This window comes from Homo sapiens, chromosome 20, assembly GCF_000001405.40.
Source record: "Homo sapiens chromosome 20, GRCh38.p14 Primary Assembly".
In the NCBI taxonomy this organism is placed as follows: domain Eukaryota; kingdom Metazoa; phylum Chordata; class Mammalia; order Primates; family Hominidae; genus Homo; species Homo sapiens.
Window position 1 is genome coordinate 51453819 of NC_000020.11, and position 12990 is coordinate 51466808.

Consider the following 12990-nt stretch of genomic DNA (forward strand, 5'->3'; position numbering starts at 1 on the left):
CAATTTGTAGATTTCTGGAAGGTAATTTAGCAATATGTATTTAAAGTCCTCAGAATGACTATCCAAAATTCCACTGCTGGGAATAAACCCTAAATAAACTAAAAAGATATACATATAGATTCATGTACAAGATTAATTAATCCTAGAAGTATAAGCTGATTCACTGCAGAACTACTTATAATAAAAATACAAGTAGCCAATATTAATTGGCTTATGCTGTACTTGGCACTATTATAATTACGTGACATGTATTAGCTCATTTAACCTCCATGACAACTTTATGGGGTAAGAAATTTTAACGGATAGGTAATATGCCTCGGATCACCAAGCAAGCAGATAACAAACCCAGAATTTGAACCCAAGATATCCAGGGCCAGAGTATGCATGCTTTATCACTGTGCTGTTTGGCCTCCCTTCTTGATAATAGCAAAAAGTTTTAAAAATTTCCTTCCTTATGTAAAAAAGTAATTTTAAAAAAAGGATTGAGGGTGGGAGATAATCTCATTTTCTGTCAAAATGACCTAGAAGAGTTAAAATGTAGAATGGCACATTCATGCAATGGCGAATGGTATGGCCATCACAATCCCTGAAGACACGCTGAGTAAAAAGAGCAGGGTATAAAACTGCACGGTGGGATCTACCCCCCAAAACCAAAGTTGTATATAATAAAGAGATGGTCACTTTTGCATGATTCTGGGGGACAGAGAAAGAGCTCAAAAATCCACTGACCTGTGGTCTTCTCAGTAAACACAACTTTGGACTCGGATGTAAAGTTCTGCCCCGTGAGGATCATTTGCTGGCCGCCATAGACCAGGCAGCTGTCTGTGTCTTGTCTTTCAACCATGGGCAGCTCGTGAGCAGATCGCTGGGCTGCAGGCAAAAGAGAGAGAAGTCACTGTGATAAGGGGAGATGTCTGTTCAAAAGAGGAGGTCTGATTTCATGGTACTGAGATATGACATGCTCTGCCCACCTGTGTCACCTGTTGTTATCTAAAATGTGGAACCATCACCCCTGACAATCAATGACGTACAAATGTTATGCCTTGTGAAAGTGCTCTAAGTCATTTGAGCTAATTTCCCTCTAACAACACATTTCGTTTTCATGAATCAAGGGACAGAGGCCTGTTCTCCTTACAGGAAGCCAGAGGCTGCCTGTTGTCCTTATAAGGAGAACAGGTACATGAGAATTGGTTTTCTTTATCCTTTTATAAAGGGATGGGCAAATAAACTTCTTTATAAGAGGTTTCCTTTGTTAAAGCATATCCTTTCTTTGTACATTTGATGTCAGCCAAAACATGAAGGCATCATGTATGCTAAGCTTAGGATATAGTACCTGAAGGGTTTAGACATATTGACTTTGGAATTCATTTATGATCTTTAACATAGTCGTTAAGACATCCATGATCTACCCATGGGGTCCTTTTCTAGAACTCTCCCTCATTCACTCTGTTCCAGCCACACTTCTAGAACATTCTGTCTCTCAGATATACTCAGCATACTCCTACCTTTGAGCATCTGCACTTCCTAGTGTCTGTCCTCCCCAGTTACCTGCATGTCTCCCTTCTCCACTTCTTGCAGGTCTCTACTCAGCTGTCACCTCCTCTGGGAGGCTTCTTTAACCCACCCCATCCCCTCCCAAGAGTTAAAACAGCAGTACCCAGCCCGGTCCCTCTCTCTCATTCTCTGTCACCTTTGCTTTCTCTGTCCTACTTTGCTTTTCTCCATAGAGCTTTTCACTTTCAGATACATTATATGTAGCTTGTATTGGTTTATCTTCTTTCATCTTTAACCTACTAGCATATAAGCCCAGGAAGGAGGGGCTTCGCTTTGTGTACTGCTGTAAGCCTAGACCAGGAATAGTGCCAAGAACCTAGGAGGAGAACGTACTAGTTGGTGGGTGGGTGGGTGGATGGGTGGGTGGGTGGGTGGGTGGATGGATGGATAGATGGGTGGATGGATGGATGGATGGATGAGTGGATGGGTGGGTGGGTGGGTGGGTGGATGGATGAATTGATGGGTGGGTGGGTGGATGGGTGGGTGGGTAGATAGATGGGTGGATGGATGGATGAGTGGATGGGTGGGTGGGTGGGTGGGTGGGTGGGTGGATGGGTGGGTGGGTAGATGGATGGATGAGTGGATGGGTGGGTGGGTGGGTGGATGTGTGGGTGGGTAGATGGATGGATGAGTGGATGGGTGGGTGGGTAGATGGATGAATGGATGGGTGGATGGGTGGATGGATGGGTGGGTGGGTGGATGGATGGGTGGAAGGGTGGGTGTGTGGATGGGTGGGTGGGTGGACAGATGGGTGGGTGAGTGGATGGATGGGTGGGTGGATGAATGGATATGAATATGTCTGTATCTCCCAGTATGTATTCTCAATACATCTATTTACATCTATGTCCTCATCTATACTTTAATAAATGAAAAATGGAGGAACAGGACAGGCCTGTGCTGAGCACTAAACCAGAATGCTATAGTTGAATGCTCATAGCAACCCTCTGAGGAAGGAAGTATTAAAATGATTCGCATTTGACTGGGGAGAAAACCAAAGCTAAGAGGAGTAAAGTCACCGCTTGGCCAAGGATCCATGGTGAAGCTTACATTTGAACCCTCAAAAGCAGGTTTCTCCAGCTCCAGCGCCCAATCTCTTAGGTTAACTAGCCAGCCACCTATTCCAGAAGCCAGGCTGCAGAAAAGAATGAAAACCTGCTCCAGCCACCTTCCCAGGGCAGGCAAGAAACAGATCCCAGCCACAGCCAGGGCCCCACCTCCTCAGGCCTCTCTCCTTCCAGCGTGGGCCAAGAGGCCAGGCCCGCCCCCTGGGGTGAGTCAGTCTGAGCTCTTGGCATTCCTCCCCAAGCCCAGAGAACTGGGCAGAGGGCCAGCCCCTTCCATGGCAGGAGCCTACGGACCTCCCCATCCGCGAGCCTGGGCAGCAACCGCGTGAGGCCCACGGCCCAATTCTAACCCTTCCCTCCTGCCTTGCCTGGGCCTCCAGGCCACTGGCATCCCCCTGCATCTGCTGGGGCCACTCAATGGAGCAACGATGCACTTGGCAACATTTCAGGAGTCGCCGTGCACCAGCCAGAGGCTTCCAGACACTCCACCTTGAGAGTGCCACCCAGCAGTGACTCAAACCAATCCCCTGATGGCTTTTCCCAACCCCAGCTCAGCCCAGGCACCCTCTGTTCCCAGAGACCCGCCTGCCAGCGCTGCCCCAGGGGCTGCCGGCTACAAGGATAGATTACAAAGACCTCTCCGCAGAAGCTGCTAATCTCTCCCACATGGGCTGGGTTATTAATCCTTTCTTTCAATATCAAAGTTTTGTGATGACTTCCTAATTGAGCTGCCACAAATGAGATTTATTAGCAGCAAGAGCAGCAGCTGCAGGTTCAGGCTTTGAAGATCTGCCTTTGATGAAACTGGGGAGCAGCTGGGGGCTTTTGGCCCCGGGGATGGGTGGTGCAGTGGCGAGAGCATCCCACCCATTTTACAGGTGGAAAGCCTGAGTCATCGCTACTGGGCAAGCCAGCCCAAGGCTTGCAGCCAGGAGGCCTGGGGACTGGAAGGGGCTGCAAGCTCTCAGTGCTGGGCGGGAGGCTGGCGCGGACAGTTGGGCTGTGAATCACTGCACGCTGCTGTGAACACAGCTCCTCTCTTTCCTGCGGCAGCCTCGTTGCTTCCCCCTTCAAAGCCTCATAGTCTCAGCAACCAACAGATTCAACCTTTGCCAAGTCTGCATTTCCTACCTCCCTACCTGAAGGAAAACTTTTTTTTTTTTAATGAAAATTTAAAGAGACAGAAAAAAGAGAAAACACGCCTTTAGCTATATTCTAGTACTACTACAACTCCAAGTGCAGGCCAGGGGCCTTGGCATCACTGGAGAGCTTGTCAGACATGCAGTACACCTCAGGCCCCACCCCAGACCTGCCCAGCCCAGGTCTGCAGTTTTACAAGGAGCCCATGTGATTCTTGCGCACTATCAAGTTTGAGAAGCTCTGTTCAGCCCTGGCCAATTAGAATGGGAATGGGAAGTTAAAAATACTGACACCCAGGCCCTCCTCGTCCTTTTTTTTTTTTTTTTTGAGACATGGTCTTGCTCTGTCACCCAGGCAGGAGTACAGTGGTGGCATCACGGCTCACTGCAGCCTCTGCCTCCTGGGCTCAAGTGATCCTCCCACCTCAGCCTCCCGAGTAGCTGGCATTACAGGTGTGTGCCACCACATCCTGCTTATTTTTGTAGAGGCAGGGTTTTGCCATGTTACTCAGGCTTGTCTTGAACTCCTGGGCTCAAGCGATCTGCCTGCCTCGGCCTCCCGAAGTGTTGGGATTATAGGCACGAGCCACTGTGTCTAGCCCAGGGCCCAATTCTAAAGCAAGGTTTCTCAACCTTGACACTATTGCCATTTGGAGCTGGGTAATTCTTTGTTGTCAGCAGGCAGGGGGTGTCCTGGGGGTGTCCTGGGCATTGTACAATGTTTAGCAGCATCCTTGGGTTCTACCTATCAGATGCCAGGAGCACCCTACCCCCCAGCTGTGACAACCAAGATTGTCTCCAGACAAGGCTGGATATCCCCTGGGGAAGAGGGGTGCAAAATCATCCCTGGTTGAGAACAGCTGTTCTAGAGATTCTGACTTAAATGGTCTGAGGGTCAGGACCCCAGCATTGTTTTTATCTTAAAAAAAAAAAAATCTTCAAGCCAGGTGCGGTGGCTCACGCCTGTAATCCTAGCACTTTGGGAGGCTGAGGCAGGCGGATCACAAGGTCAGGAAATCAAGATCATCCTGGCCAACATGGTGAAACCCCGTCTCTACTAAAACTCCAAAAAAAAAAAAAAAGAAATTATCTGGGCGTGGTGGTGGCATGTGTCTGTAGTCCCAGCTACTCGGGAGGCTGAGGCAGGAGAATTGCTTGAACCGGGGAGGCGGAGGTTACAGTGAGCAGAGATCACGCCCCTGCACTCCAGCCTGGCGACAGAGCGAGACTCCTCTCAAAAACAAAAAAAAATCTTCAAATGATTACAAGAGGCCACAGCCAGGTTTTATCTGTGGTACCATCACTGCAGGGTAATACAGGGCCCTGGGAGCTGCAAGAGAATACATCATTAACTGCTGCTTGGGCTCCGGGGTCAGAAAGCCATGGTTTTGAGTCCTGCATCTGCCATCCCTGCTCTGTGACCCTGGGCAAGTCACTTCACCTAAGTCACAGATGCCTCCTCTGTAAGGTCACAACAGTACCTGCCCTCACGGGTCTGCTTCAAGCAGTACAAGACCCTGCATATGACTATATGGACGCAGTCAGTACATAGATGGTAAAATATCAAATATCAACCCAAATGGTCATGCATGGATACACAGATAAACAAAGCGTGGTCTATCCATGCAGAATATTACTCAGTCATGAAAAGGAATGAAGTGCTGGTTCCATGCCATGACATGGGTGGACCTTGAAACCATTAAGTGAAGTGAAAGGAGCCAGACACAAAAGGACAAATGGCATAGGATCCCATTTATATCAATCGGCCAGAACAGGCAAACGCAGAGAGACGGAGAGCAGATCGGGGCTCACTGGGGGGTGGAAATTGGGCAGTGCCTGCTAATACGTGAGGCGTTTCTTTTTCTGGTGATAAAAAAAAGTTCTGCAGGCCAGATGGGGTTTTCTCAGCCTGATGTCACTCTGTCCGGGTCCAAGTTCTGTCTTCATAGTTTACTAGCTGTGTGGCCTTCGAGTGGCAGCTCTCTGTGCCTCAGTTTCCTCAGCAAAAATGATAAAGTTTGGCTGGGCGCAGTGGCTCAGGCCTGTAATCCCAGCACTTTGGGAGGCCGAGGCAGGTGGATCACCTGAGGTCAGAAGTTCGAGACCAGCCTGACCAATATGGTGAAACCCCATCTCTACTAAAAACTACAAAAATTGGCCGGGCCTGGTAGCATGTACCTGTAATCCCGGCTACTTGGGTGGCTGAGGTGGGAGAATCGCTTGAACCCAGGAGGCGGATGTTGCAGTGAGCCGAGATCACGCTACTACACTCCAGGCTGGGCAATAAAGCAAGACTTCATCTCAAAAAAACAAACAAAGAAACAAAACAAAACAAAAAAAAGTTCTGCAACTACAGAGTAGTGGTAGTTGCACAATATTGTGAATGTACTTCATGTACTGAATTGCATACTTGAAAATAGCTAAAATGGTAAATTTTATGTGTATTTTACCACAATAGGAGAAAATATCCTATATAAGACAAAACAGCCCATGCTTAGCACACAGTAACAACTCAAGACATGATGGTCTTTGCTATCGTTGACTTTCAAAAATGCCCCTCTTTTTCTTGCTAAGTTATTTTCACAACACTTTATTTGTTTAAACCCTTAAATCATAGCCCTACAGCAAGGAAGACACTATCACTCCCATCTAGAGAGGAGAGGACAGATGCTCAGAGCTCAGCTTCAGTGAAGGGCAGCACGTGCTCTTGGTTAAGGCTATAGTGTTGGACACCCCCCTGGTTGATCCTTGTAGGGGTTTTCACAGCTCTGAGCCTCAGTCTCCCCATCTGTAAAATGGGGCTGTTAACAGTCCCACTTCACAGGTCATTACGAGGATTAAACAAGTTCATCAAAAGCGTGTCTGGCTTAATAAACATGGGTCAGCAAGGTTAGCAACACTAAAAGCTGTAGCTTCTGAGAGGCTGTATGTGCCAGCCATAGACATTGTTGTCTTATATATTTTAGCATATATGTACCAAACATATGCATGTGTGTACACAGGTCACCTCTGTGGTCACTGCTGTTCTCGGTGAATCCTGAGCCATAACCCAGGTTTCTTCTTCTTTTTTTTTTTTTAATAGAGACTGGATGTTGCCATGTTGCCTAGGCTGATCTCAAACACCTGAGCTCAGGCGATCCGCACGCCTCGCCCTCCCAAAGTGCTGGGATCATAGGCATGAGCCACTACGCCTGGCCCAGGTTTCTTGACCCCAGTTGCCAGTGTTTCTCAAAGTGTGGCTCTCAGGTCACCTGTAGCAGAATCTTCCCCCAGCAACGCAGGGTCAGAAGGTGCTAGATAAAAATGCAGATACCCAGGCCACATCCCTCACCCTCTGTGCCCCAATCTCTCGGGCAGAGGCCAGACATTTGCATTTTAACAATCTTTCCGGGTGACTTGTCACGCACGTTTGCTTAAGAGCCAAGTTCCACACTTAAGAGGCCACCTGAGGACGGGGAACTCCTCCAGGGCAGGCCCCAGTCCTCAGAGAACCCAGAGGCAAAGCAATTAGCTTTTGAAAGAGGAACTGAAGCCAGCGCACAGCAGCCCAAATTACCCTCCTGAGCTCTACTTCTCTATTGCTCTCTGATGCAACCTCCATCACCTATGGCTGCTAATTGGGGTGACAGGTCCAGGGTGGGTGGGAGGCTCTAAGGAAGCCCAGTGGGCCTCCCAGGCTTGCACCCACCCTCCTCATCAGCCCCCCTTTCTCCCATTCATTTCTGAGACTGCAGACAATCCAAACCGCACAGCCTGCAGTTTTCCAACCAAACCAGGCACCTTGCTTTTAAAGTCATCTTTGAGGGCCTGGCTCAGGCCTGCGGGTGAAGTCTTGACCTCTGCTCCAGCTTAAGCTTCAAGGTGGCCCCTGCAAAGTGACTTCCCCAGGCTTCCCTCCTGCCCCTGGATTCTGGCACGTCATAAAGTGGCTTGGGGGGGCTCTTGTATTTTATGAGCTCTGAATCAACAGGACGCTGTTGGTTTAACCAGTTTGGGTGTTGACTTTGTCTTGCAACTGTGCCCACCTGCAGCACAGCAGCAGCCACCGCAAAGGTTCAGCGAAGAAAACTGACACCGGCACAGGGTTCCCCCACATCGCCCAAGTAGGCCTGGAAATGGGAAGTTATTGCCTGACTATCTGAAATTCGCCGTCAAGCCGGGTGGCCAAGAATTACGATCTATCCAAGAACCTCAGGAGAGACTGGTTAGAGAAATTCGCTCCTACAGAGAGGGCAGTTTCTGTTAATAACAGCGGACAGGCTGGGTGTGGTGGCTCACCCCTGTAATCCCAGCACTTTGGGAGGCCAAGGTGGGCAGATCACTTGAGGTCAGAACTTCGAGACCAGCCTGGCCAAGGTGGTGAAACCCCATCTCCACTAAAACTACAAAAAAAGTTAGCTGGGCGTGGTGGTACGTGCCTGGAATCCCAGCTACTTGGGAGGCTGAGGCAAGAGAATTGCTTGACCTGGGAGGTGGCGGTTGCAGTGAGTTGAGATTGCACCACTGCCCTCAAGCCTGGGTGACACAGCAAGACTCTGTTTCAACAATAAAAATAAATTTAAATTTAAGAAATAACAGGCCGGGCAGGGTGACTTATGCCTGTAATCCCAGCACTTTGGGAGGCTGAGGCTGGCAGATCACCTGAGGTCAGGAGTTTGAGACCAGCCTGGCCAACATGATGAAACCCCATCTCTGCTAATAATACAAAAAAAAAAAAAAAAATAGCTGGGCATGATGGCACGCACCTGTAATCCCAGCTACTTGGGAGGCTGAGGCAGGAGAACTGCTTGAACCCGGTAGGCAGAAGTTGCAGTGAGTCGAGATCGCGCCACTGCACTCCAGCCTGGATGACAGAGCGAGACTCTGTCTCAAAAAACTAAAAATAAATAGCAGACAATTACAAATGCTATAAAGACTACAGATTGCAGGCACAACATATACACATTTTTAAAAATATTATAAAACGCCCACACCAAGAAGCAATTTAGGGTTCACACGTAAAAGTAACATTCTAATTTTGGGACTTTGAGCAAGACACTTAATTTCTTTGCCTCTGTTTTTCATCTATAAAATGGGAATATCACAGCACTAACCTCACTGGGCTGCCTGCAGATTAAATGAGCTAATCCATGGGCCTGCGTGGCATCTCATCAGGACTCAGTGAATGTTAGTTGTGTTTATTTTTATTGCTAAACTTCATGAGACCACAAAGCAGGAATCACTCCCGTTTTAGAGTAGAAGACATTGATCCTCCCAGAGGAGAAGGAATAAGCTTGGGAGCTCACAGCAAATGGACAAGCAGAATTTGGACCTACACTGGGGGATTCCGCTACCCCATGGGACCCTCTGCAGTGAAACGGAGGACTTCGTGGGAAAGACACCGGCCAGCCCAGGCAAGAAGGTTCCTCCCATTGGTCATCGTTCTGGCCCGAGCACTGAGCAACCCTGGCCTTGGCGCTCCAGCTGCTGTCAGCCCTTCTTGTCTCTGTATCAGGCCCCATCCTTGGCTGTGAGCCTGGTCTGGCTGGGCCTGGCTTGGCCCAGAATGTGCTGCCGACTCAGGCATCTCCCGGGAGAGGCTGTGAGCAGGGCCAGCAGACAGGCCCCTCAGCCTCCACTCTGGCTGTTCCCTGGGTCTTCCCTGGGAAGTGGGAGAGTGGAGGGGAACCAAAATCTCCCCTAGTGTGGGGCTCACCTCTTTGAGGGAACCACTGAGGTCCACAGCAAGGGAGTGGGGTATGATGTGTGCAAATGCATGAGACACACAGTGAGTGACAAAGTTGTAGCTGTGGGCCTCGGTGGCGGGGGGCCTCAGCTTCAGCTTTCTCATATGGAGAAATGCAGCAGCACGGCCCCTCCTGTGAGACTTTCCTATCTCATCCACTCCACAGGACATCAGGGAGAGTAGGAGCTGCTGTCTCTCCTCCCATCAGATCATTACTCTACCATTCCAATGTACTAACAGGCACCCTCTTCAGAATATTCTCAGTCCAAAACCTGATGAGCTCTGGATCACTGAGGAACCCAGGCAGCCGGGACAGAGAAAAGAAGATGGCTTTAACCCCAGCTCTGCCCCTGCCTTGCCAGCCGTGGGACTGCAGCAAGTCACTCATCCTTCGGAGCCTCAGCCTGCAGGCGCCCACACCCTGCAAGGGTGCTTTTCTGTGCCTCCATCACTGGCATATTATCAAATGCTTCGAACAAATGAACTGAGCAAACGTTTAAGATGGGCCTTCTGAGGTTATGATGAGGATGGAAATGAGTTAACCTCAGTGCATCTGTGGGTACATCGTAGGTGTTCAGAAGGGCACTCTGCCTTCCCAGCTCCCTCATAAGTAGCCCAGTAAAGGGCCGGGTAGGTAACTATTTCAATCAGCAAAGAAGCCACCCCAATCCTGGGCTCTCCAAAAAAAAACAACTTTCCTCCACTCACTCATCAGGTGGCCCACCCCACTGGGCCAGATAACTATTGGGGTTCCTTCCCAGCAGCAGGGTATGTTGCAGGCTGTCTGCTCGACTCTCCTCTCACACCGGCCTACTGCTGCCTGGGTTTCAGACTCCTGCAGTGACAGGGTGGCAGCCAGAGGTACGTAAAGCCTGCTTTACAGAACTACGGGAGGGCTGCAGGCAAGACAATGAGATCCGTCCACACTGGGCCACCACAAAGGCCACCACAAAGGAGGCACTTGAGTTACCCTGTGGGATCACGTCTGGCACTTACTGTGTGAGACACACACGCATTTAACCGCCACCCTGAGGGAGGTACTATTATTCTCCCCATTTTACAGATAGGGAAAGCGAGGCACAGAGTGTTTAAGTAATCTCCCCAGGACTAAGCAGCCAGTAAGTGGCAGAGGCAGGATTTGAACCCAAGCTACCTGCTCCAAAGCCCACATTCCTAACCGCCACTCTAAACTGCTTCTCCCCATCATGCAGCTTTCTGGCACTTCTGAAATAGGGCTTCTTGGTCACTTGCCTTCGAGAGCAGAGGCTGACAAAGGCCTGGCCAACCTGCTCTCTGCCCAATGCTCCAGTTTCATCCAAGATTTACCACTACAGGATCTTGAAGGAGACAATCTAGTGCCGGGGGGTGGGGGGATGAGGAGTGGGGTGGGCAGGTGCCCACAGCCCCCTGGAGGCCCTTGAGTTGGTCTCTGATTTATAATGAGATGATGCCACCCTTTGGGTTTCTGGCCCAAATTAATCTATCACTCAATATGTAGTTAAGGCTTGATGCCCCGAGGCTCAGTGGGATGCAATGTTACCACTGGCTTGCCCCTCACTAGCTGGATGGCCACAGGCAAGCTCACTTCTCCATGCTACAGTTTTTCCAGCCTCTTCTCATACTGATTCAGCCACAATACAGAACGTACTTGACACACAGCAGATGATTAATAACTTCATTTCTCTACACCTCTTCCCTGTCCTGTCCCTCTCATCTTCTTTCTTCCTTCATTCTGCCTTCAAGTATTGATTAGCACCTACTATGTGCTAGGCTGTGTGCTAAATGAATATTAAAATAGAAATCACAGCTGGGCGTGGTGGCTCAGGCCTGTAATCCCAGCACTTTGGGAGGCCAAGGCAGGTGGATCATCTGAGGTCAGGAGTTTGAGACCAGCCTGGCCAACATGGTGAAACCCCGTCTCTACTAAAAATAAAAAAATTAGCCAGGTGGCCTCCTGTAGTCCCAGCTACTCAGGAGGTTGAGGAACGAGAATCACTTGAACCTGGGAGACAGAGGCTGCAGTGAGCCAAGATTGCACCACTGCACTCCAGCCTGGGTGACAGAGTGAGAATCCGTCTCAAAAAACTATATATATAGAAATCACATCATGTCAACCTCCTACTTGGAACCCATGGCTTCCCATCCTAATTAGAATAAAATCCGAATCCCCCAGCTTGGGCTCAGACCTCACCTCCGACCCCTCACCCCACCTATAACACTCCACACAGTCTCCCTGGGTACCTTTCTCCTCCCTGGAGACCCTGAGCTTATCCCTGCCTCAGGGCCTTTGTACTGGCTATACTTCCCCGTGGACCAATCACTCAGGTCCTGGTGAACAAGCTCCATCCTCACAGGGGCCTTCCCTGATCGGCATGACAGACACATATTTAACCAGCCTACCAACATGGTGATGTTGCTGTTCCCGCACTCCCAAGCCACCAACCCGTGGTCCTTGTTATTTTCATCATGACACTTGGCTCTCAAATGCTGTCTTTGCTTGTTTACTGTCTGTCTTCCCCACTAGAATGTAACCTTTGTGAGGGCAGGGACTTTGTTTTGTTCAGTGTTGCATCCCTAGTGCCCAGAACAGTATATATCACATGCCAAATGTATTTTAAGTTGAAAGAATAAATATTGGGAAGCCCACGATAATGATGTGAGTCATTTCAGCTTCCGGCAGGAGCAGCTGAACAAGATGAGCATTTCTGATTCACAAAGCGAAGCACAGTCAACATGCCATTCAGGCCTCCCTAATTCTTTTGTTTGTTTTGAGATGGAGTCTCACTCTGTCGCCCAGGCTGGAGTGCAGTGGTGGGATCTCGGCTCACTGCAACCTCCGCCTCCCGGGTTCAAGTGATTCTCCTGCCTCAGCCTCCAGAGTAGCTGGGGTTACAGGTGTGCACCACCACACCTGGCTAACTTTTGTATTTTTAGTAGAGACGGGGTTTCGCCATGTTGGCCAGGCTGGTCTCGAACTCCTGACCTCAAGTGATCTGCCCACTTCAGCCTCCCAAGGTGCTGAGATTCCAGGCATGAGCCACCACACCTGGCCCGGGCCTCCCTCCCTAATTCTAAGGGTTTCCTGAAGCAATGCTGCATTAGCACCCAACCGCCAGCTAGACCCAGGAGAGTAAAGTGAGGGATAAAACGGAAGGTGTGCAAGAAGCATCGGGGTCGTAGGTTGTCTAATCTTTTGCTTTCAGGAAAAAAAAAGGCATCAGAAATAGCTGAATTTCCACAGGGAAAACAATGGAGCTGGACCCTACCCCACACGATACACAAAAACCAACCTGCACGGATCAGAGCCCCAAACATGAAACCAGAACCGAAAAGCTTCCAGAAGAAAATGTGACAGAATGTCTTTGCTACCTTCAGATAGGCAGAGATTTCCTGGAGGAATGCAAAAAGCACTAATCCCAGAAGAAAAGAAAATGACAAATTTGGCTTCATCAAAATAAAATATGAATGTTCATAAAAAGACACTCCCTGGGCTGGGCGCAGTGGCTCA

At 49.4% G+C, this 12990-nt stretch overlaps 1 protein-coding gene across 12 annotated transcripts in view, besides 2 other annotated features; it reads right to left on the reverse strand.

The window, feature by feature from the left end:
* NFATC2 (nuclear factor of activated T cells 2) overlaps window positions 1-12990 on the reverse strand; it is a 175877-nt gene that overhangs the window by 66856 nt on the left and 96031 nt on the right. For all 12 annotated transcript variants that reach the window (NM_001258295.2, NM_001258294.2, NM_001258292.2 and 9 more), the window contains exon 6: window positions 730-870. In NM_001258295.2, the coding sequence (NP_001245224.1) occupies window positions 730-870 (141 nt within the window). The remainder of the gene's footprint in view (window positions 1-729; window positions 871-12990) is intronic.
* Window positions 2416-3021: an enhancer, noted in NCBI's record as "H3K4me1 hESC enhancer chr20:50072771-50073376 (GRCh37/hg19 assembly coordinates)". NCBI's record gives its function as "activates a minimal SCP1, AML or CMV promoter by ChIP-STARR-seq in primed H9 embryonic stem cells {active_cell/tissue: H9 hESC(primed)}" and the evidence as "EXISTENCE:reporter gene assay evidence [ECO:0000049][PMID:30033119]".
* Window positions 8784-9744: an enhancer, noted in NCBI's record as "H3K27ac-H3K4me1 hESC enhancer chr20:50079139-50080099 (GRCh37/hg19 assembly coordinates)". NCBI's record gives its function as "activates a minimal SCP1, AML or CMV promoter by ChIP-STARR-seq in primed H9 embryonic stem cells {active_cell/tissue: H9 hESC(primed)}" and the evidence as "EXISTENCE:reporter gene assay evidence [ECO:0000049][PMID:30033119]".